General features: G+C 51.2%; 1 protein-coding gene across 10 annotated transcripts in view, besides 10 other annotated features; it reads right to left on the bottom strand.

Moving 5' to 3' along the window:
- The window catches only part of CPT1A (carnitine palmitoyltransferase 1A), an 89,658-nt gene extending 75,174 nt beyond the window's left edge, over positions 1-14,484 (bottom strand). For 6 of the 10 annotated variants that reach the window (NM_001031847.3, NM_001440365.1, NM_001440364.1 and 3 more), the window contains exon 1: positions 11,982-12,123. The gene's annotated coding sequence lies outside the window, so the exon portion shown is untranslated. Of the gene's footprint in view, positions 1-9,758; positions 10,625-11,981; positions 12,124-14,351 lie in introns of those variants that run through there. The other 4 variants (NM_001440360.1, NM_001440359.1, NM_001440363.1 and 1 more) reach the window with 2 other exon arrangements.
- Positions 8,829-8,908: a silencer, noted in NCBI's record as "silent region_3679". NCBI's record gives its function as "represses an Ori minimal core promoter by ATAC-STARR-seq in GM12878 lymphoblastoid cells {active_cell/tissue: GM12878}" and the evidence as "EXISTENCE:reporter gene assay evidence [ECO:0000049][PMID:35858748]".
- Positions 10,149-10,308: an enhancer, noted in NCBI's record as "active region_5142". NCBI's record gives its function as "activates an Ori minimal core promoter by ATAC-STARR-seq in GM12878 lymphoblastoid cells {active_cell/tissue: GM12878}" and the evidence as "EXISTENCE:reporter gene assay evidence [ECO:0000049][PMID:35858748]".
- Positions 10,962-11,241: a silencer, noted in NCBI's record as "silent region_3680". NCBI's record gives its function as "represses an Ori minimal core promoter by ATAC-STARR-seq in GM12878 lymphoblastoid cells {active_cell/tissue: GM12878}" and the evidence as "EXISTENCE:reporter gene assay evidence [ECO:0000049][PMID:35858748]".
- Positions 11,292-11,391: a silencer, noted in NCBI's record as "silent region_3681". NCBI's record gives its function as "represses an Ori minimal core promoter by ATAC-STARR-seq in GM12878 lymphoblastoid cells {active_cell/tissue: GM12878}" and the evidence as "EXISTENCE:reporter gene assay evidence [ECO:0000049][PMID:35858748]".
- Positions 11,652-11,731: a silencer, noted in NCBI's record as "silent region_3682". NCBI's record gives its function as "represses an Ori minimal core promoter by ATAC-STARR-seq in GM12878 lymphoblastoid cells {active_cell/tissue: GM12878}" and the evidence as "EXISTENCE:reporter gene assay evidence [ECO:0000049][PMID:35858748]".
- Positions 11,942-11,991: a silencer, noted in NCBI's record as "silent region_3683". NCBI's record gives its function as "represses an Ori minimal core promoter by ATAC-STARR-seq in GM12878 lymphoblastoid cells {active_cell/tissue: GM12878}" and the evidence as "EXISTENCE:reporter gene assay evidence [ECO:0000049][PMID:35858748]".
- Positions 12,012-12,371: a silencer, noted in NCBI's record as "silent region_3684". NCBI's record gives its function as "represses an Ori minimal core promoter by ATAC-STARR-seq in GM12878 lymphoblastoid cells {active_cell/tissue: GM12878}" and the evidence as "EXISTENCE:reporter gene assay evidence [ECO:0000049][PMID:35858748]".
- Positions 12,517-13,042: an enhancer, noted in NCBI's record as "H3K4me1 hESC enhancer chr11:68609778-68610303 (GRCh37/hg19 assembly coordinates)". NCBI's record gives its function as "activates a minimal SCP1, AML or CMV promoter by ChIP-STARR-seq in naive H9 embryonic stem cells {active_cell/tissue: H9 hESC(naive)}" and the evidence as "EXISTENCE:reporter gene assay evidence [ECO:0000049][PMID:30033119]".
- Positions 13,765-13,904: an enhancer, noted in NCBI's record as "active region_5143". NCBI's record gives its function as "activates an Ori minimal core promoter by ATAC-STARR-seq in GM12878 lymphoblastoid cells {active_cell/tissue: GM12878}" and the evidence as "EXISTENCE:reporter gene assay evidence [ECO:0000049][PMID:35858748]".
- Positions 13,945-14,154: an enhancer, noted in NCBI's record as "active region_5144". NCBI's record gives its function as "activates an Ori minimal core promoter by ATAC-STARR-seq in GM12878 lymphoblastoid cells {active_cell/tissue: GM12878}" and the evidence as "EXISTENCE:reporter gene assay evidence [ECO:0000049][PMID:35858748]".

The following is a 23,572-nucleotide window of genomic DNA, read 5'->3' on the forward strand; positions in this document are numbered from 1 at the left end:
AGTAAATCGGAGGTGGCGGCAACACCCCGGCGGCCTCCACCACACCAAAAACAACACATCGTCTGGCATTGTCATGGGGCCGCGGATGTGTCTATTTTCACTGAAAGTACAGAAATCACTTCTGAGAAGCTGGCATGGTGGCTGGGGCCTGGCCTGTACCTCTGCCCCAAGTGGACACGAGCCCTGAAAGGCTGAGTGGGAGGCCAGGTGCAGTGGCTCACACCTGAAATCCCAGCACTTTGGGAGGGCAAGATGGGAAGATTGCTTGAGTCCAGGAGTTCAAGACCAGCCTGGCCAACGTGGCAAAACTCCTTCTCTGCCAAAAATACAAAAAATTAGCTGGATGTGGTGGCGCACACCGGTGGTCCTAGCCATTCTGGGGGCTGAGGTGGGAAGATTTCTTGTGTCTGGGAGGTCGAGGCTGCAGCAAGCCCGGACTGTGCCACTGCACTCCAGCCTGGGCAACAGAGTGAGACCCTGTCTCAAAAAAAATAAAAGAAAGGCTGAGTGGGGTTGGGGGATTGGGGGTGGAGATCGCCCACCTGGAGCCCACCTGCTGGGAGCTCACACAGACCTCCTTGCCCGGAGCACACGGGGTGCCCACCAACTCCCAGGTGGAGCATGGGAGCCAGGCCACATGCCATCCTGGAGGCTATGATGGGACTCATCACTGAGGTCTGTGCCATAGCACTTAAGCACCTTATGCTAATCTGCTCTCGGAACCACACAGAGATGCAGAATAAGAGGCCCCAGCCAAGGCTGCAACCCCTTCATCACAATTGTCACAAATCCGCTGTCCCGTCTCCAGCTCACCTATTCCATGGTTGTTCCTACCACCTTCCAAGCTCAGCTCTCCCTGTCACCTGCCCCTCCGCCAGGCCCACCAGCCTTGACCTATGCCACTAACTGGCTCGCAGCTGGGAAGTCTTCAGCTCTTTTTCCATTTCTGTTTTCTCCTTTCTTCATACTTAGCTTAAAGCTCCCAGCACTTTAGGGGGCAGCCCACGAATCCAAACTCCCCAAGAAATTCTACAAGAGACATTTAGCAATGTCACCTGCACCAGCTGGCAAATGACCTTCACTTGTGAGTTATGTGTCCAGTCTTCCAAATACACTTCTCAAGGACATGAATCCTTGTGTCATCCGAATTGAATCCTGAAGACTATGGACAGTTCTCCAACGCTGAATGCTACATCAACAATCGTGGGGGGGAAGGTGATAACACATCTTCAATTTTGCTTACGATTAACTTCATTTTAACAACTTTGCTCAATATCCCCCAAATCCTTGGCCAATAAACTGCTCTGGTACTTTGTTTTTTGAAAGTGTTCACTTTGTTCCCTTTCTCCATAATCAATTCCTTTTAACCAAAACCTTTCACCTCTTTCGAAGTCATTGGCCTATGAATCCTAACACTGGCCATGTAATCAAGAAGACACTCAACACAGGTCCCTATGCCCTTTGAGCAAACCTCCCCACTCCTGCACCCCCAGTCCTGCAGAGCTGAGACAGGCAGGTGGCTGAGGAAAGCAGGTGAAAGGTCAGCTTGATGCACCGTGCATTGCCAGGTTTCAAAACACGCCCAAGGAAAATGGAGATATGGGACTTGCCTCTGTAATATAAAACAAACAATAAAACTTGATACGTGACAACGGACTTCCAAGAAAATGGTCTTTATAGCAACTGAAATATGTAAATAATTTCTGAGTGGGGCAGAAGTCTTTCAACACAGCCTTGCAATCAACACGTATGGAGATACTAATAGATAGGTGTGTGGGAAGGTAGGTAGGTAAGACATAAAGATTCCTTTTTGTGCTTTTAATAATGAAGTTACAGCACATTCCTTTTTTTTTTTTTTGAGACGAAGTTTTGCTCCATCACCCAGGCTGGAGTGCAATGACATGATCTCGGCTCACAGCAACCTCTGCCTCCTGGGTTCAAGTGATTCTCCTGCCTCAGCCTTCCCAGGAGCTGGAATTACAGGCACGCACCACCACGCCTGGCTAATTTTGTATTTTTAGTAGAGATGGGTTTTTACCATGTTGACCAGGCTGGTCTCGAACTCCTGACCCCAAGCGATCCGTCTGCCTTGGCCTCCTAAAGTGCTGGGATTACAGGCATGAGCCACTGTGCCCGACCCAGAACATTCTTTTTACCAAACCCTTTGGCATATGCTAGACAATGTGACCCATATATATTTTTATATTGATGTATTTGACTAGCATTAGATCATTTAATTCCCACTAGCACCCTAGGAAATGGGTACTAGGGCTATCTCCATGTACTAATGAGAAAACCAGGGCTTAGATGTCAAGAAACTTGCCCAGTGTCACAGCCAGCAAATAGCAGGGCTGGAAATCAAACCCAGGCCCAGGCCAGGTGCGGTGGCTCACGCCTCTAATCCCAGCACTTTGGCAGGCCAAGGCGGACAGATCACCTGAGCTCAAGAGTTCGAGACCAGCCTGACCAATATGGTGAAACCCTGTCTCTACTAAAAATACAAAAAATTAGCTGGGCTTGGTGGCATGCACCCGTAGTCCCAGATACTAGGGAAACTGAGACAGGAGAATTTCTTGAACCTGGCAGGTGGAGGTTGCAGTGAGCCAAGATTGCACCACTGCACTCCAGCCTGGGTGACAGAGCGAGACTCTGTCTCAAAAACAAACAAACAAACAAACAAACAAACAAAAACCCAGGTCCAACTCCAAAACTTATACTCTTAACTCCCAAAGTAAAGTGGTAGGTACTACACAAAAAGTTCTACTTAGGATTCCTAAAGTTACAACACAGATATAAAATTAGGTCACTGTTGTAACCAAAATGATGAGATTGCAGCCAGCAATAAAACTCCAGTAAGTATAAACACCATCAGTGCCAACTGTAAAATTATTCACATGCTGCAGTCTTCCCACTAGCATTGCACAGTGCCCATGCACACAGGAGCAGGCTCTGCTTTCTATTCAAACCTAGCTAACAGCTGCCCATCTCCTCCAGCGGTAAACAACTATGTTGGAAATCCTCTGAGAAAATGTTACCCATGGGAAGCGACAGCTTAGCTCAGCAGGAATACCAGGCAGGGCCTCTAGGAACAGAGAAAGTGTGAGGCTGGATGACATGGGCCTCATCCCTGGAAAAACTGGAGAAGGCGCTGTAGGCAGGGTCAGAAGCAGTGTCTCTGGCGAAGGGCAGGGCAGTTATCTCATCATCTACAACACATTCTTGGATGCCCGGGTGACCAATGCCTGGGAAGATTCTGCTTCGCTAGAAAGCTAGTGCCAGCCTCCGGGACTGGCTCCAGCTCGGGGAAACCACCTTCACAACATGCATGATGTCCAAGGTGGCAAAAATCTGGCCTGGCCTCCTCACTGCTGCCCAAAGAACTTCAAGGGAAGTACCAGGAAGGCTCTGGAAGGACAGCAGCAGCCCAGGGGGTTCCCTAGAACTAGCACACATGTGCAGTAAAGTTCATGGCTCTTCTGAACTGAGATGCAGGCAAAAATTAGCAATAATGGGAAGGAAGAAAAGCAGCAGCTCCTCTTCTCCAGGCAAGTGTGGGTGTGCGCTCTCTGCACTGTATGAGCCACATCGTTATTCAATTGCAGATATGCACATCTGTAATGGTGCCCTTGTACTTTTCCAGTAAATGTGTATACACACAAACAGAAGTTGTTTCCCAAACTTGGCTGGGCGTGTTGGCTCACGCCTGTAATCCCAGCACTTTGGGAGGCCAAGGTGGGCGGATCACCTGAGGCCAGGAGTTCAAAACCAGCCTGGCCAACATGGTGAAACCCCATCTCTACTAAAAATACAAAACATTAGCTGGGTGTGGTGGTGGGCACCTGTAGCAGGAGAATTGCTTGAACCTGGTTGGTGGAGGTTGCAGTGAGCCAAGGTCCCACCACCGCACTCCAGCCTGGGCAACAAGAGCGAAACTCCATCTCAAAAAAGAAAAAAAAAAAGAAATTGTTTCCCAAACCTGATGGAAGCACCTTAGAAGTGAGAATGTAAGACTCACCTTATGTTTTTCGGAGGGTTTCATGTACAAGAAAGGTGAAGGATTTTCATTATTATTTTTTTTTTATAAGACAGGGTCTTGTTCTGTTGCCGAGCGTGACCTTGAACTCCTGGCTCAAGAGATCATCTTGCCTCAGCCTAAGCTGGGACTACAGGTGTGCTCCACTACACCCAGCCTGGAGCTTTCATTATGAAAGGTTGCGTCTTGAATTCATGACTGATCATTCAATATTCACATTATTTAAATTGGCCACACAGTGGATTTCCTGTACTGAAGTTTATCATAATGGACTATTCACATTTATGGGGTCAATATAATGGGTCGTCAGGTTATAAAAGGAATTCTGGGCTGGGCACGGTGGCTCATGCCTATAATCCCAGCACTTTGGGAGGCTGAGGCGTGTGGATCACCTGAGGTCAGGAGTTCAAGACCAGCCTGGCCAACGTGGCAAAACCTCATCTCTAGTAAAAATACAAAAATTAGCCAGGTGTGGTGGTGGGCACTTGTAATCCAGCTATTCGGGAGGCTGAGGCAGGAGAATCGCTTGAACCCGGGAGGCAGAGGTTGCAGTGAGCCGAGATCATGCCACTGCACCCCAGCCTGGGTGACAGAGGGAGACTTCGTCTCAAAAAATAAAAATAATAAAATAAAAGGAATTCTGGACTGGGTATGGTGGCTCATGCCTGTAATCCCAATACTTTGGCAGGCGAAGGCAGGAAGTTCGCTTGAGCCCAGGTATTTGAGACCAATCTGGGCAATGTAGCAAGACCCCATCTCTACAAAAAATACAAAAATTAGCCAAGGTGTGGGTAGTGCATGCCTGTGGTCCCAGCTACTTGCGAGTATCACTCGAGCCCAGGAGTTTGAGGTTATAGTGAGCTATGATCACGCCACTGCACTCTAGCCTGGATGACAGAGCGAGACCCTGTCTTACCAAGTACTGTAAAAATTAAGCCAATTCTGGGTGGATCACTTGAGGTCAGGAGTTTGAGACCAGCCTGGCCAACATGATGAAACCCTGTCTCTACTAACAAACAAAAACTACCTGGGCATGGTGGTGCATGCCTGTAATCTCAGCTACTCGGGAGGCTGAGGCAGGAGAATTGCTTGAACTGGGGAGGCGGAGGTTGCAGTGAGCCATGATTGCGCCACTGCACTCCAGCCCGGGCGATAGGGCGAGACTCCATCTCAAAAAAAAAAAAATTAAGCCAATTCAAATTTAGACCTTATAGTGCACCACGTCAATAAGTAATGGTTAGATAAATACAGACAAATATGATCTTAGAAAAAAAATTTGGAAAAGCCACAAAGATTCACAATTTTATAAAGAAGATAGCCAACGTATTGACAGACCCAGTTATCTGACCTAGCTATTCAGAAGCCCACCAGAAGTTTAACAGCTGCTACTTCTTTCCCACTGTGCCTGCCCTGCCTCTAGCCAGCATCGGCACTCGGGCAGGAGCTCAGACTGCAAGGAGGAGACCTGCACCTGCCCAAAGGACATCCTAAACCTCCTCTTCGTACCAGTATATTGTTCCCACAAATGTCCCTAAGACAACAGGAGCGGTGTCCCCTGTATCTCCCATGCATATTCTTCACCTTTGCACAGAATATAACAACTTGAACTTCTAATTCAAACTGAACTTGAACTGAACTTCTAATGTGGGGACTGCAAAATACATTGGTGTCCCTAAATGCCGCCTGCAGCCAGGACATTGTTTGCTAGAGCCTGTATTTACTTTACACACTCAAAACTCTCTTCACATCTGACCTCTGATTGGATCCTCACAAAACTCGTGTGACATGGAATGACAGGTTCAGACCCACCACCTTACAGATGAGGAAATGGAAACCCAGAAACCCTAGAGGCGGATTCAGTGCCACACCCAGTCTGCATGGGGTAGGGAGTGGGGGCCTCCAAAACCCAGGCCCTCTGGCTGCCCAGTGGTCTGGGAAGCAGCCTGGGAAAGGGAAAGAAAACACACAGATCTGGGTTCAAATCCCAGCTCTACCAATTACTCAGACCTGTGACCTTGAGCAAGTATTTGCCTCACATAAAGTATGCAGGATGCCCTTACCTCCTCCGGCAAACTGCAGGAGGACGTGGCAGCCAGCTCTGACACCTGTTAGGTCTTTACTGCAGGAACACGTTCTTTGTCCCTTTCCAACTGTAGCCCTGTGGTGCCAATGCAAACCCTCTAGGAATGTGGATTTCTCTTCCTACCTGTTGCACCCCCACCCCATGCCAAATCTCAATGCCAGCATTTGATACCTTCTGACTTCGATGTATACCTTTTAGCAATCTGTGGTTGTATTTTGTGCAAACTGTACTGGACATCACATTGAGCCACTGTGTGTATTTGAAGAAGTATAAAGAAACCAGGAAGCCCGGCGTGGTGGCTCATGCCTGGAATCCCAACGCTTTGCAAGGCCAAGGTGAAAGGGTCACTTAAGGCCAGGAGTTCAAGACCAGCCTGGGCAACATAGTGAGGCCTGTCTCTACAAAAAAATATAAAAAATTAGCTAGGTGTGGTGGCATATGCCTGTGGTCCTAGCTATGTAAGAGGCTGAAGAAGGAGGATCCCTTGAGCCCAAATGGGAGATTACGTTGAGCTATGATGGCACCACGGCACTGCACTCCAGCTTGGGCACCAAGGCAAGATCCTGCCTCGGAAAAAAAAACTCCTGGCGCAGTGGCTCATGCCTGTAATCCCCGCACTTTGGGAGGGTGAGTCAGGCAGATCACCTGAGGTCAGGAATTCAAGACCAGCCTGGCCAACATGGTGAAACTCATCTCTACTAAAAATACAAAAATTAGGCAGGCATGGTGGCATGCCCCTGTAGTCCCAGCTGCTTGGGAGGCTGAGGCAGGAGAATCACTTGAACCCAGAAGGCAGAGGCTGCAGTGAGCCGAGATCATACCGCTACACTCCAGCCTGGGCAACAGAGTGAGATTTCCTCAAAAGAAAGAAAAGAAAAGAAAATAAGAAAAGAAAAGAGAGAAAGAAAGAAAAATGAAACAAAATCTCCAAGAAAAGAAAGGGAAGGAAGGAAGGAAGGAAGGAAGGAATGAAGGAAATAAAGAAAAAGGAAAGCAAACCTCCATGTATTAAATCTTTTTCAGGGCACCAGAGGAGATGACAGTTGGCAAATCAGGGATAAATGCTTTTATAAATGAAGAATCATTTTATAAAAAGTCAAATTTCAGTGATAGCATATGACAGTTTTGTCTCTTCTCTTCTCTTTTCTTTTCTTTTTTGAGACGGAGTCTTGCTCTGTCAACCAGGCTGGAGTGCAGTGGTGTGATCTCAGCTCACTGCAACCTCCAACTCCTGGGTTCAAGCGATTCCCCTGCCTCAGCCTCCCGAGTAGCTGGGATTACAGGCGTGCATCACCATGCCCAGCTACCTTTTTGTATTTTAGTAAAGACGAGGTTTCACTGTGTTGGCCAGGCTGGTCTCGATCTCCTGACCTCATGTTCCGCCCATCGTGGCCTCCAGAAGTGCTGGGATTACAGGCGTGAGCCACTGCGCTTAGCTGACAGTTTCTCCAGGGCATCAGAACACAGCGTTAGGAAAGCTGTCTGTGGTGACTCAATGTGACCTGATGACCACAGGACCCCCTGAGTGAGCCAGGGCTGGTGGGCGAAGCAGACATCACTGCAGAGAGCTAGCAGCTTGCTGTGGGGAGAGAATAGGGACGTGGTCTCGGGTCCAGATGTCCTCAGCCACAGTAGCAGCATGAAGGAAGGTGCATTGAGGGGGGACCCAAATGCTCCTCTGCTCCCTGCCTCCCTCACAGGAACTTCCCATAACACAAACAGGAATAACAGTGCCCCTCGTCAGGCGGTTATGGCAATCCAGAGTGGAAAAAGGGTGCTTCGGGCAGGGCGAGGGGGCTTATGCCTGTAATCCCAGTGCTTTGGGAGGCTGAGGTGGGAGGATCGCTTGAGGCCAAGAGTGCACTATGATTGCGCCACGGCACTCCAGCCTGGACAACAGAGCAAGACCTTGTCACTAAAGAAAAAAAAAGAAAGGATGTCTCAAATGTTCTGTCATTCCTTCAACACATATCTGAATGTCTGCTCTGGGCCACTGAAATAATGAGGAAGGTGAATGTAAGGGTGAGTTAGGAAGAAGTAGCAGCACTTAGCCCCGGCTGCATGTGGGGGCTTAGGGAACAGGAAGAATGCAGGCTGGCTCTCCGGCTCCTGGGCTGGGTACCACAAACCACCCGCATCAGGAGTATGAAGCCTTCCTTTCTTAACATAAAGGACTTGGTGTCCAATGCCTAACCTATATCCCTCAGGAAGCAGAGCGGTACCCACCCTACTGCCCAACCCTCCAAGGTGACGGTGACCCTCCTGCACACCCTGGAGAGGGCACGCCTCACTCAGCAGCATGATTTCTTTCACTGTTAACTTCCAAAGACGTTCCTGGACCGAAGAACAATCCTCACCAAAAAAAAGGCAAAGGCAGACACTTCTGAGGCCGTCAAGATACCCAAATAGGGTAGCTGGCCTCAGCCCAGGGCCTGCTGGAGATCCAACCTTCACCTGACATTTGGATGGGGTAAAAGTTGAAATTTACACAAGGTAACAAATATTTGAAGCTAGCAAGCAGAAAAAAGTCCTTACTTGTGTTAAGCAATCAATTTGTTTAAAAAACATATCCTGTACATGTCGTCAAAGAAACTGGTAATAGTGGTGGCATCTGGAGAGGGGAACCAAGTGAGAAGGACTCTACTCTGTATCTGCACCTTTTTAAAAAAAAAAAAAAAAAAACAGAGACAGGGTCTGGCTGTCACCGAGGCTGGAGCGCAGTGGTGCAATCATAGCTCACTGCAGTCTCCACCTCCTGGGCTGAAGCCATCCTCCCACCTCAGCCTCCTGAGTAGCTGGGACCACAGATGCACTCCACCAGGCCCTACTAATTGTTTGTAGAGACAGGGGTCTGGCTCTGTTGCCCAGGTTGGTCTCGAATTCCTGGCCTCAAAGCAATCCTCCCACCTTGGCCTCCCAAAGCATTGAGATTACAGGCGTGAGCCACGGGGCCGGGCCCATCTGTGCCTCTTTAACTTTGCATCGTATGCTTATATCGCTTATTTGTAAAAACAAAACAAAACAAAAGTCTTCACAAGAAAAGCTCAAGACTGGCAGAAGACAAGTGAGGCCTCTTTAAAGTGTGTTGGAGAGATTCTCGAGAGATTCTCTCCAACACACTTTAAACAAACAATCTCGAACAGCCATTTTAATTCTTAAAGCACCAATTCTTCCGGAATTCAAGTTCAGGCTTCCACCAGCAACAGAATTCTGGCCTGCCAATAATAACCATGCAGAGTGACTAAACATTTTTTCCAACAAAGGAAAAAATGCAAACGATCAAAGTGCAGAAGCAGCCCTTGGCCCGCGCAGGCTCCGGTTTCCGCCTCCCGCCGCCGCTGCCACCGCCCCTGCGCCTTTAGATTTCGGGCAGCAAGTTTAATTGCTCGCTTGGAAAGCGTCCTCGGAAGGGCACCGCCAGCAACTGCGGCTTCGCGCCCCGCCCCTTCCCCCAAGCCCCGGGCGGCGTCACGTGACGGCTGAGAAAAGTAGGGGAAAGGTCAGCAGCAGCCCCGCCCCCAGGCTGGCGCGTCCCAGGCGCTCGGATCCTGTTCCACCCGCCGTGCCCACAGAGACCTTCCGGAGCGAGTTGGCGCGCGTCCCTGTGGCCACCCCAGCGACAGCGGGAGAAATGCAACGCACCTCTCCGTGGGAAGGTCGAGCCCTGCGGTGCCCAGCTGTGGGGACAGCTCGGTGCTCAGTGCTTCTGATGACAGATGCTGCATCCAACGAGCCAGAAACGCAGGCACCGCGCTCAAGAGCCCAGGGCGCGTCTAAAAGGGGCTCACTGTGAAGCCTCAGTGAAAACTGACGGTGTTTTTATGAATGAGCACTCGGGGCCAGGGTTGGGTAAGGGCAGGCCCTCGTTCCAGGGCTCCCCGGAGGCCCAACTTGACCGCTCGGTGACCACTGGTCCGGGGCCGGGGCCAAACGCAGCAGCCGCAGCAGTATCGGAAGGGACCCAGTTTAATTCTCTTCCCCTCCAGGGTAGGCGGCTTGTTTTTAGTACCAACTCGAAACGTTATTTTGGCCTGTGCATGATGCCAACTTCTGCCACTTTGAAACAAAGTGTGTGCACTCCCAAACCTGGCCCTTTTTATTGTTTGATTCCAACTGTTAAGATAGGGTTCAAGTGCAAGGTCTAGGCTAGCAATGCTTCACAGGAAGGAAACCAGTAATTTACATGCGAAAAGCAGTCCACAGGCTCTTGGTATTGAGGCAAAACCAATCCAAAGAACCAGCTGCGAATGCTGATAGTCCCCAGACCAACTGACAGCTGGATGTTCGCTGGCCTCAGCGGTGTGCATTCTCAGCGACACTTATGTCCTCAATTTATTGCTACGTTCACTCGGTCAGAGTCGCCTTAAAGAATTTGGAAAGGCCCGGGGGTGGGGGTGCTTCCTGGCATAAATAGAAGACCAGTGCTCAGCCATTTTTTATTCACTTGGTTTGTGGCTTAGAATGAAATAAACATGCTTGCATATCTGGAATGACCAGAAACCGGACACCTGTGGAAGAAAATGGTGTAACAAAATACAACGTTGCAAAAGGTAAAACCGATTTTCATTTTATTCGGTAACTTACAAAGTTACCAGCTTCCTACTAAAATCTGCCCTTAAATATTTTATAACACACGGAGCCGAGAGGAACCGAAAGCCTGTGCCGAGTTGGGAATATTAACTTTGTTATGTATTTAACCTGGTAGGTAGTTGGGATTTTTAACTCTCTGAGTTGTTTTCTTTTTTTAAAGTAAGATCGGCCCTCATCTTTGAGTTCTGCGGCTTTAACGAAAGCCAAGGGCGGATTTACATTATAAAGACGCTGACCCATGGCCTCTCCTGACAAACCGAAAGAAGCCGGCTGTTGGCTGGCCGCGGCGGTGGCTCCGAGAAGGGGCTGCCCCGCGTGGCCCTGACCGCACCGTCGGGCTCGCAGGCCAAGTTCGCCAGGGCACGGCCACGTGACACCCCCACCCTCCCGCGGCCCCGCCGCTCCCAGCCCGGCACGACCTTGGGCACATGCTCCGCGCCCACCCGCCCTTGACCCAGCGCTGCACGGGAGAGGCTGCGGGGCGCTCCCAAGCAGGCACTGGGCCCGGCACCCTCATCCTGCTCACGGCAGCGCTCGGACCGCGCCTGGAGTCCCTGCGCCAAGGGCGTGTCCCGACGGCTGCACCGCGAGGGCGGGCATGGGGAGGGGGACCGGGGAGACGGACGCTGGGATGGGGTCAGCGGCGCCCTGCCGAATCCCGAGGGCCGAGCACCCCTCCCTCAGCCGCACTGCACCTGCCCGTAGGTGACCAACCCACGGGCGGACCCCCAGACCCAATCCTCTCCAGAGCCAGGGTGGGATGGGCAGGGACAGGAGCCGGAGGCCCTACTGGCCCCGGGCGAAGGCATCCTGGAAAGCATCCAGAGCGTCCAGCATCCCTCCCGCGGCCACCCGCAGGCTGACCGACCCCTGGGCAGACCCTCAGACTCAATCCAGTCCAGGGCGGATTAAGGAGTGGGAGACAAGGGAGCCGGTGGCCCCGCTGGCCCCGGGCCGGAGGCGTCCAGCCAAGTCCGGAGGGCCGAGCATCCCTCCCGCGGCCGCACGGGACCCGCCTGCGGATGGACCGACCCCCGGTGGACCCTCAGACCCAATCCCCTGGGGAACATGGGGAGCCCCGGCCTCTTTCTGGGTTCAGGATCTCCACAACCCCGCCGTCCGGGGGGAATACCGGGGTTCCTCTCGGCGCCCCGGTTCCGGCGGCGTCCCCCACCCGGTCCGGTTCCCGGCAGCCCCGCGCCCCGCCCGTCCCCGGCCCCCGCAGCCCGCAGGGCCGCCCCGCCACCCTCCCCACCGCGGGCGACCGGGCCTCACCGAGTCAGCTACGGAGGTGCGGCAGCGGCAGCGGCAGCGGCGGCGGCGGCGGCGGCGGTGGAGTGAACGAGCGGCGAGCGGGAGCCGGGGAAGGAGGGCCGCGGGCGAGGCCGAGCGCACCCGACGCCGGCAGCAGCGGATTGGCTGAGGCGGGTCCGGCTGCGGCGCCTGCAGGCGGGTGACTCCCGGCGCGCGGAGGGCGGGCCCGGGGCCTCGGCGGGGCGGGGCGTCCGCGGGGCTAGGAGGGGAGGGAAACTGAGGCTCGAGCGGGTGCTCGCGTCCTCGACCTCTGCCGGAATGGGGTCTAGGACGAGATTCCTCACCCTCCGAGCCTCAGTTTCCTCATCCGTAAAACGAGCCATCTCGTGGAGGCCGTGCGCATAAAATCGCTTAGCTCCGTGCCTGGCTGATCCTCGCGACTTATCTATCGGCATTGCCCCGTGTAATGCTCCAGGCACCCCCTGATGGTATTCACCCCTGACTCTTTCATGCAGACAAGGGTCGCGGGCCAGGAAATAAGTTACCCCACATCACCGAGCTGAGAAGCAACCGATCCACAGGGAGTGGTGGGGCGCGCCTGTAATCCCAGCTACTCGGGAGGCGGGAAGTCGCTTGAAGCCAGGAGTTCGAGGCCAGCCTGGGCAACGTAGCGAGACCCCGTCTCTAAAAAAAAAAGCGCGGGGAAGTGATAGATCGGACATTGGGTCCAGATCTGATTCCACAGCCCATGCCCCAAATCAGACCTTATACCACGAGTGGCAGTCATCGCGATCCAGAGGCAGCGTGGCTCCTCCTCATCTAGCTAGGATAAAAATGCCTCACTTGGGGGGCTTTGGTGAGATTTACTAAAATAATTCTTCCAGCGTCAAGAACATAATAGGTGCTGGGAGAGGAGTAGCTGGAGGCCAGGGCAGAGCGACCGAGAGACCCTTGTGCTGGAGCTCGGGAGAGGGGCCGGGAGCGGGAACTGAACATCCACCGGTCCCAGGAGTCTAGGGCGAGCGCAGCTGCAGGGGACCCAGGGGGTTGAGGGGGAGGGAGAGGGGCCCCAAGCGTAACAGGAGGGCCAAGGGGGTCTTCCTGACCGGGAGCCACCCCTCCCCTATCTTTGCCCGCAATGCTTCCAGGCGCGAGCTGGCGGCTCTGCATACAGCAGGTGCTCCATAAATGCACCGATGTTATGAACAAAGACTCTTTTAAACCTCTTTTATGAACCCTGCTCTTTTTAAGTTCGACCACTTCTTCTAGTTATGAAAAAATCCATGTTTGCAACCATCCTTCTTTCTGTATCATTTAGTTGTTACCGCAGAAGAATTTAGAAGAGAAAATGAAAGTTCTCCTTTGATCCCGCCCCCCACCACCGCTGCAGTTAACTCTCCCTGCGGTTCCCGGGCTCGCTGTTTTAAAGGAAGGCTAGGATGCAAGCTGTCTGTAAGGCTGTTTTGTTTTCACTTGGCTTACGTCGTAGACAGGTCTCTGCTGGGGGACGGAGATGACCACCGGCCTTCCCAAGGCTGCATAAGATTTCCTTTGACTATGCTGTGATCCATTTACGCGGCCCCCATTGGACAATTAGGGCCTCCTCCCCGCCCCCCACCCCACCATTGCAGGTATAAATAAAAGCTGCGTTGGCCGTCGATGTACCTCCTGGAGCTCCTGATTATCCTGTAGGATAGATCCCTGGAGGGGAAGCAACCAGGCACGTGCGACATTTTGGTGACACAGGCCAAGCTACCATGCCGAAAAGTTTACCAACTTCCACTGCCACCCGCGCGTGCAAGCGGGGCCCTGTCTCCGATTATGGATTATTTTAATCTTTGCCAATCCTAAAAGGAGGGGTGGGGGAGGGAAGAATCTCTCATCTCTCCTTTTAATTTGCATTTCTTTGAGGTTAGAAGTTGGGGGTTTGTCCCCCTGCTTGCGCTTGTCTGGACCACCAGTGAGCCCAGGCACTCGACCCCCGCAGATTTCACCGCCCCAAGAGGCCAGTGGGCTGGGCCAGGGCACACGTTCCTGACGCGCGGCTGCACCCCACGAGCCCGGGCGGCTCTCGCGCGTGAGGCTCTCCTTGCACGTGGGCCTTCGCGGTTTGCACTACGGAAGCTGGACTGTCATTCTCACCGCAAATGCCCTTCCCTCCTTTCCCTGGAACCTCAGCCACCGACAGGTCCCCGCTCCAAGGTCATTTCCTCCCTCGCTCAGCGCCCCGGTGCGCGCCCAGCTGGGATTGGCCCCGCGCCCTGTCTGTTCCCAGGGCTCTTCGGCCTTGACCGTGCGCCCTTCCCTGCGCGCCGCCTAGGTGCCACCTGCAGGCCGGGCGGGGCAGGGACAGGGACCCAGTCTGTGGGGACGCCGAGGCGCCACGCTCACCTGTGCCATGGTGGCCGGGCTCTCGGCAGCTGCAACGAGCCCGCGCCGGCCTGCAACTGCAGCCGCACTGGGGAGGCCTTATTCCCCTCCCGCCGACCACGCTGCAGCTCTCCTGCCCGGGTCTGCGGCTCCCGCGGCTGCGTAGCTGAGTCTATTAATAAAGAAGCAGAGAACGAGGCCTCCCGGGGAGCTCCGGGCCTGAGCCTCAGTTCCCTGGGGCCAAAAACGTCTCCATGTCTGCCTCTGAAACTAGAGTAATCTTTCTCAAGCCTTGTTTTTTACAGATTCTGCCCCAGTTTGAATACTGTAGCAATTGCCTACCATAGCTACAAGAAAAATTTTCTTTTTAATGCAGGTAATGTTTTTATTTACCGCTAAGATTTCTCTTTTTACTCAAAAAATACTTTTTTATGGAAAAATCCAAACCTTTTTATTCATTCGTTCATTCATTCATTCATTTTTGAAACAGGATCTCTCTCTGTTGCCCATGCTGCAGGGCAGTAGCAAAATGACAGCTCACTGCAGTGTTGACATCCTAGGCTCAAGCAATCCTCCTACCCCAGCTTCCTGAGTAGCTGGGACCACAGGCAAGTCCCGCCATGCCTGGCTAATATTTTGAAAAATCCAAACCTTTGAAAAAAATTAACCAGAATAGTATAATAAAGGCCTATACAACCAAAACTCAACATCAACCATTATGGAGCTAGGGCCAAGGTGTATGCCTGTGTTCCTACCCACTCCTGCCCAGTCCTACTGTTTATTTTAAAGCAAATTCAGAAATCCTACCGTTATGTCCACAAATTCCTTTTTTTTTTTTTGACATGGAGTCTTGCTCTGTCCCCCAGGTTGGAGTGCAGTGGCGCAATCTCACCTCACTGCAACCTCTGCCTCCAGGGCTCAAGCGATTCTCATACCTCAGCCTCCCGAGTAGCTGAGATTACAGACGTGCATCACCATGCTCGGTAATTTTTGTATTTTTAGTAGAGACAGGGTTTCACCATGTTGGGCCAGGCTAGTCTCCAACTCCTGATCTCTGGTGATCCATCTGCCTCAGCCTCCCAAAGTGCTGGGATTACGGGTGTGAGCCACTGCGCCCAGCCCTCAAATTCTCGAGTACAAACCTCTAAAAGATAAATATTCTTAACTAAAAAATATGACCATACTATCATTGTCCCACCTAAAATAGATGAACAATTGTTACAGAAAATGGTAAACCCTGTTGCCTGCCAAGAGCACAGCTGAGTCCCCACTCGATCTCGCCAGCCTCATTTCTTGCTGGCAGCTCCCAGCAGATTCTGATCCAGAAGTGTGTACGACTTTTTTGGAACTCAGCTCTGGTATCCCCATAGGAAACAGTGTTGAAATCTCAGTGTGGTGTGCTTCCCTCTCCTCTCCGAAGCCTGTAGTCCCTCTGACCTTGCACCTTGGGCCTCTAGGTGTTGAGTAAATATGGTCAGTTCCACTTTGCTGAGCCTGCATCACCAGGGTTTCATGAGGACAGAACAGGGTGATGCAGACGAAAGCACCTGCACGCAGCAAGAGGACGTGCACGGAAAGGACTCAGAGCAACAAGTGCACTGTTTTCTTAATGGAACACGTCTGCTCTGAACACGGGATCAGAACACATTCTTTTGTTGTTGTTTGTTTGAGATAGAGTCTCTCTTCGTCACCCAGTCTGGAGTGCAATGGCGTGATCTCGGCTCACTGCAACGTCTGCCTCCCAGGTTCAAGCGATTCTCCTGCCTCTGCCTCCCGAGTAGCTGGGATTACAGGCACGTGCCACCACGGCTGATTTTTGTATTTTTACTAGAGACAGGGTTTCACCAGGTTGGCCAGGCTGATCTCAAACTCCTGACCTCAAGTGATCTGCCCGCCTCAGCCTTTCAAAGTGCTGGGATTACAAACATGAGCCACTGCACCCAGCCCAGAACACGTTCTATCCCACTGCTCCTGGACGCTTTGCTGCCCATCTGTGCCTCAGTTTCCTCACTTAAAAGAGGACCAGCTGGGTGCAGAGGCTCACGCCTGTAAACCTAGCACTTCGGGGCTGAGGCGGGTGGATCACCTGAGGTCAGGAGTTGGAGACCAGCCTGACCAACGTGGTGAAACCCCATCTCTACAAAAAATACAATAATTAGCTGGGCGTGGTGGCAGGTGCCTATAATCCCAGCTACTCTGGAGGCTGAGGCAGGAGAATCGCTTGAACCTGGGAGGCAGAGGTCGCAGTGAGCCGAGATCGCGTCACTGCACTCCAGCCTGGGCAACAAGATTGAAACTCAGTCTAAAAACAAAAAAACAAAACAACAACAAAAAAGAGGACCTTGACCCAGGGCACTAATGAGCAAACCTTTCACCACTCTCCGTCGTCCCTTCAGAGCCGGACTCCGCTCTGTTTCTTCTGCACCTCTCAGTCCCTGGCACCTGGTTGGCCCATTGAGGCACAAGGAAGGTCGGCAGGGGGTTGCCTTGTGGGGAGGCAGCACAGTGAAGAAGCAAGAATGGAGGTCAGGAGAGGGTGCAGCAGGCCACAGGGCACAGAGCTGAGTCTGGCTGGCTGCATGGGTGCCTCACTGCTCATCTGGCCTCAGTTTCCTCACTTCAAAAAAAGAGGATGGCCAGGTGCGGTGGCTCACACCTTAATCCTAGCACTTTGAGAGGCTGAGGCGGGTGGACCTCTTGAGGTCAGGAGTTCGAGACCAGCCTGGCCAACATGGTGAAACCCCATCTCTACTAAAAATACAAAAAAAAAAAATTTGCCAGGCATAGTGGTTGGCGCCTGTAATCCCAGCTACTTGGGAGGCTGAGGTGGGAGAATCACTTGAACCCAAAAGGCAGAGGTTGCAGTGAGCCAAGATTGTACCACTGCACTCCAGCCTGGGCAACAGAGTGAGAATCCATCTCAAAAAAAAGAGAGGACATTGACCCTGGGCACTAATAAGCAACCTTTTCATCACTCTTTTCTTTCTAATATTATTCTGATTAGTTCATTTATTTGGAGAAGCAGTCATATTCTGGTGTTGGGAGTGTGAACTCCAGAACCACTCAGCCTGGGTTCAAATCCTGTCTCTGCCACTTACTAGCCGAGTGATCTTAAACCTCCCTGCACCTCAGTTTCCTCATCTGTAACATGGGAAAGAAATGGAAGCTGCCTTGGAGAGTTGTAATGAAGATGAGTAACTGCCGGGAGTGCTTAGAGCATTCCCTGGTACACAGTAGGTGCCACATAAGCTTTAGCTGTGATTATTATTCCCCCGCATCCTGTCATGAGTCCATGTTTTAAAAGCTGTTGCCCTCCCAGATCAGAGAATGCTGGAAAAAAAGGAAAAAATGTCTAAACGAATAAACAAAAACACTGTTGCCTATAAACAGTACGTTTAATGGGGGAATAAATAATTTCCCTGAGCATACAGCAGAAATATGCAAAACTGCCACCTGGAGCCTACAACCAGCATAAAATTTGCTCATTCCTTTAAAAGATGCTTATCAATAAGCACAGTGGCTGCCAGGACACCGTGTACTGCCAGCCAAGAACCAAAAAGCTGGGCATTTTGATCTATACAGGTTAATTTCAGATAGATGAGGGGCCTCTTTAAGGCCATTTGAAGTGGTCAGAATAGTTCAAAGGTCACTATTACTCCCTCCTCAGTTTCCCCAGTCATCTCTGAGGCCCCCATCTACCTAGCCTACTTAGAGAGTATGCGTTCAGGCCAGGACCTGAGCTTCTTCATGGGATCAGAGCAGCGTGCTGGGCCCAGTGCAGGCAATGCCTTAATGGATGCTATCGAAGTTGGTATCTCGACTTGCCCAACACCAGGGCCAGGGCAGTCTTGCTCCTGACCGCTGTGCTGGCAGCCCAGACACTGGGACTTCATGCACAGGGAGGAGGTGACCCTCCTGTAGCTCATTTTAGCAGACACCTGAGTTTTTAAATGAGAGCATTGGCAAAAGGTCTTCTATGTTAAGGACATAAATCCTCCCCTTTGGAGGTGGAGGTAGAGGTAGAAGGAGAACGAGAGAGGCAGGTAATAACTTGAGTCTTTATAGTTTTTAAATTTGGAAGAGCCGGGCACAGTGGCTCACGCCTGTAAACCCAGCACTTTGGCAGGCTAAGGTGGGTGGATCACCTGAGTTCAGGAGTTCGAGACTAGCCTGGCCAACATGGTGAAATCCTGTCTCTACTAAAAATACAAAAATTAGCCAGGCATAATGGCAGACGCCTATAGTTCCAGCTACTTCGGAGGCTGAGGCAGGAGAATTGCTTGAACCTGGGAGGCAGAGGTTGCAGTGAGCTGAGATTGTGCCATTGCACTTCAGCCTGGGCGACAAGAACAAAATTCCGTCTCAAAAAAAAAATTTGAAACGGGGAGTCACTGACCCTTGGAAAACCTGATGATGGCTACAAATGCTATCCCTGGAAACACACACATGCACACATGCACACACACGCACACATGCATGCACGCACACACGCGCACGCACACACGCACACGCACACACGCGCACACACATGCACACACATACAGTAAATCACTCCAGTCGTGACCCTTCCAAGACGTGTCTATAGCCTCCTGCCCCACACAGGTTAAGAAAAAATATCCAAAACTTGGAAATGAGGCAAAAGCATGTCTGAATGTGATTTCAGTGTCACACTTGATCATTGCCTAACCGTCCCATTCAAGGATTCGCTTATTTTCTAGGGAACAGTAACTTGGACAAGGCCCCAGAGTCTGTGAAGTTACATGTGAGCTGGTAGATTTTTGCCCAACAGAAATTCAAAGGATTTCCAGTTGATAGAAAAAAGAATTCCCCAAGGTTATGATTTTATTGCCTGCAGGACATTAACCAGTTTTGTAGCAATCTTATGGCAGCTTTGTTTTCTTTCCCTTTTATTCTTAAGATGGAGTTTCACTCTGTCACCCAGAATGGAGTGCAGTGGTGTGATCTGGGCTCACTACAACCTCCACCTCCTGGGTTCAAGCATTTTTCCTGCCTCAGCCTCCTGAGTAGCTGGGACTACAGGTGCCCGCCTGCTCAGTGGCTCTGTCTCCAGCCTGGCTCTCCTTTGAGCTCCCACCCTGCCACTCTGGCATCACCTTTCTGATCCCCTTAAATCCTCACTAGAGCCCACCCTTACCCCCCATCCCTACTGCCACCCCCAGAGAAATGACTTCATTCACTTGTTCCCTGGGGCCAAGTTACCCACCGGGAGAAGTCAAGTCTCGGTTGCCAGCAAAGCAGGACCACAAAGAAAAGAAAAATTAGGGTGTGTGGGTGTGTGTGTGTATGTGTTTTCTATGTCAAAGCAGCAAATAGGGCACGGTGGCTGAAGCCTATAATCCCAGCACTTTGGGAGGTTGATGTGGGTGGATCACTTGAGGTCAGGAGTTCAAGGCCAGCCTGGCCAACATGATGAAACCCCATCTCTACCAAAATTACAAAAAAAAAAAAAAAATAGCTGGGTGTGGTGGCACACACCTGTAGTCCTAGCTACCTGGGAGGCTGAGGCAGGAGAATCGCTTGAACCTGGGAGGCAGAGGTTGCAGTGAGCCGAGATCATGCCACTGCACTCCAGCCTGGGCAAGAGTGAGAATCTGTCTCAAAAAAAAAAAAAAAAAAAAGAAAAAAGAAAAAAAGAAAGAAAAAAGAAAAGAGAAAAAAGAAAAAAAAAGAAAGCAGCAAATACCTATCAGAACCTCGGTGGACCTCTTTTTTTTTTGAGGCGGAGTCTCGCTCTGTCACCCAGGCTGGAGTGCAGTGGCGCAATCTCGGCTCACTGCAAGCTCCGCCTCCCGGGTTCACGCCATTCTCCTGCCTCAGCCTCCCGAGTAGCTGGGACTACAGGCTCCCGCCGTCATGCCCAGCTAATTTTTTTTGTATTTTTAGTAGAGACGGAGTTTCACCGTGTTAGCCAGGATGGTCTCGATCTCCTGACCTCGTGATCTGCCCGCCTCGGCCTCCCAAAGTGCTGGGATTACAGGCGTGAGCCACCGCACCTGGCCAATGGACTTTCTTATGCTTATTTAACAGTTTAGCACACATCTTTATGAGACAAAGCAGCAAATGTAAGAAACCGCGTTTACTCATTTCTGTTTGCAGCGTCATTTCACAAAGACCCTGATTCTGACTTGCAGCTCTCCAGAAGGATGCTTTGAAGACAAAACAGGACAGAGTCCATGGCCCCCATGCCTCTTGCCTGAGTTACTATATTTCTTAAACGATAAGTGACCCTACTTCTTGCCTTTTCCTGCACATAAGATGACGTCAGCTGGGCGCAGTGGCTCAGGCCTGTAATCCCAGCAATTTGGGAGGCCGAGGCCAGCCGATCATCTGAGGTCGGAAGTTGGAGACCAGCCTGGCCAACATGGAGAAACCCTATCTCTACTAAAAATACAAAGTTAGCCGGGCGTGGTGGCGAACGCCTGTAATCCCTGCTACTCGGGAGGCTGAGGCAGGAGAATTGCTTGAACCCGGGAGGCGGAGGTTGCAGTGAGTCGAGATCACGCCATTGCACTCCAGCCTGGGCAATAAGACCGAAACTCTGTCTCAAAAGAAATAAAAATAAATAACATTTAACAAGGTTAGTGATTATGCCTCTGTAATCTATAACCAAATATAGCCAAACCCAACTTCTGATGTGATTCTGCGTCAATGTAACTTCTGAGAAAGCTTGATGTGATTTTGCACACAGGGAACCTCCACCACAGGTATATAAGGTGTGACCTGAAACACCGTGGCGGAGCAATATGATGGAACTGCTTCTGGGCTAGAGGCCTCAGTCAATAGTCCTCAGCAAGATCTCTGAATAAACTAAAGCTTCAAAAGCTTGATTTTTTTTTTCTTTAGTCGACACCTTTCAAATTACATATGAAGAGGTTGCCATAATCCTTTTAGCAGTTAGGACCTGGAACGATTTTTTGTTGTTTGTTTTTTGAGACAGGGTCTCCCTTTGTCACCCAGGCTGGAGTGCAGTGGTGCAGTGGCACAATCTCAGTTCCCTGCAGCCTCGACTTCCTGGGCTCAAGTGATCCTCCTGCCTCAGCCTCCCCAGTAGCTGGGACTATAGGTGAATGCCACACCTGGCTAAGTTTTATATTTTTAGTAGAGACAGGATTTCACCATGTTGCCCAGTCTGTAGGTCCTGGAAAGAGGAAAGATCTAAATCTGGCCCTGGTCTTACCCATATTCACTCATTGGATCATGCATTCATGCATTCTGCAAATATGTATTGAGCCCCCATACTTGTGCCAGCACTATTCTAGACACTGGGACTCTCAGGGAGTGAACAGAGCATTTTAACCAAGCTACAAATTCTAGTGAGAGAGGTGGTCAAGAAACAGATTCATGTGAAAAGTGCAAAGGAGGCCAGATGCGGTGGCTTAAGCCTGTAATCCCAATACTTTGGGAGACAGAGGTGGGTGGACCACGAGGTCAGGAGTTCGAGACCAGCCTGGCCAACATGGCGAAACCCCTGTCTCTACTAAAAATACAAAAATTAGCCAGGCATGATGGCAGGTGCCTGTAATCCCAACTACTCGGGACCCTGAAGCAGGAGAATCGCTTGAACCTGGGAGGCGGAGGGTGCAGTGAGCTGAGATCGTGCCATTGCACTCCAGCCTGGGCGACAAGAGCAAGACTCCATCTAAAAATAAAAATAAAAATAAAAAATAAAAAAATAAAAAGCAAAGGAGAAAAACAAACCAGGGAGTCGGGCAGAGTGTGGCTCTGGCATGGGGTGGGTGGGGACTAGCTTACAGATTTGATAGACCATAAGCCCCCTAGGGCTGGAAACCCTGGAAACCAGAACCAGATACATAACTTGGGTTTCAGAAATGTTAGCTGAATGACTGAGTGATGGTTGGGATGGACGGGTGGAGGGTTGGGGCTCTGCAGGCTTAGCTGCCTGGTGCCCCTCCATCTGGCCCTTCCCTTCCAGGCCCTCACCCCATTTCCATGTCTCCCACAGGAACCTCTAAACTGTCCCCATGTGTGCCCTTCTTCGCGGTCACCTTCTGTGCCCCAACATCTTTGAGGCAATCTGTGGCCTCCAGGCAGAACAGGCTTCAAAATTTGTCAAGCAAAGTGAAATGAAGGCTGAGACCTTTGATCAAAAACTATGAAGAATTTCAAGCTGAGGTGGGAAGATCGCTTGAAACCAGGAGTTTGAGACCAGCCTGGGCAACAAAGCCAGACCTTGTCTCTACCAAAAATAAAAAATTACCTGGTGGTGTGCCTGTAGTCCCAGCTACTTGAGAGGCTGAGGTAAGAGAATGGCTTCAGCTTGAGCCCAGGAGTTCGAGGCTGCAGTGAGCTATGATCGCACCACTGCACTCCAGCCTGGGTGACAGAGCTCTCGAGACTCAGTCTCCAAAATAAATAAATACATAAAATTGAAAAAAATTTTAAAAAACAAGAAAGGAATTTCAAGCCAGTGACTGCAGAGCATGAAACTAACCACGAAGCCCTGTTAAGTTCTCCCCTTGTGTGACTGTGCGAGTTGCATTTCCCGGAAGCTGGCCCTTCCTCTCAGGCAGGCCGGAAAGACCTCCTAGAGATCTGTGCCCAAACGACCTTTCCAACCTGGGCTCACAAACCTCACTGGGCTCTGTGCTCTCTCCACTGAAAACCTCACCCCACCTCCTGCCTCTGAGCATCTGTTCTCGCTGTTCCCTCTGCCCAGCGTGCCTTTCCACTCACTTCTTCTTGTTTTTGTGCACAGCCATGGATCAGGTGCCAGGAGAGGAGACGGAGGCAAAGCAGGGCCAGTCAGCTCTCCAGAGAAGACACTCTCAGAGGGCAGCTGCAGCCTTGCTCCACTGCAAGGCTCAAGCAGAAGCTTCCTCTGCTGCAAAATGGAGCAGCCATAAGAACCACGATGCAGGATCTGAGGTGCAACTCTGCTAAGCTCTCTGTCTTTTTTTTTTTTTTTTAGATGAAGTCTTGATCTCTTGCTCTGTCGCACAGACTGGAGTGCAGTGTTGAGATCTCGGCTCACTGCAACTCCGCCTCCCGGGTTCAAGCGATTCTCCTGCCTCAGCCTCCCAAGTAGCTGGATTACAGGTGGGCGCCACCACGTCCTGCTAATTTTTGTTGTTGTTTTGTTTTTTTTGTTTTGTTTTGTTTTGTTTTTTGAGATGGAGTTTTTGCTCTTGTTGCCCAGGCTGGAGTGCAATGGTGCGATCTTGGCTCACGGCCACCTCTGCCTCCCGGGTTCAAGTGATTCT

This window comes from Homo sapiens, chromosome 11, assembly GCF_000001405.40.
Source record: "Homo sapiens chromosome 11, GRCh38.p14 Primary Assembly".
Lineage (NCBI taxonomy): Eukaryota > Metazoa > Chordata > Mammalia > Primates > Hominidae > Homo > Homo sapiens.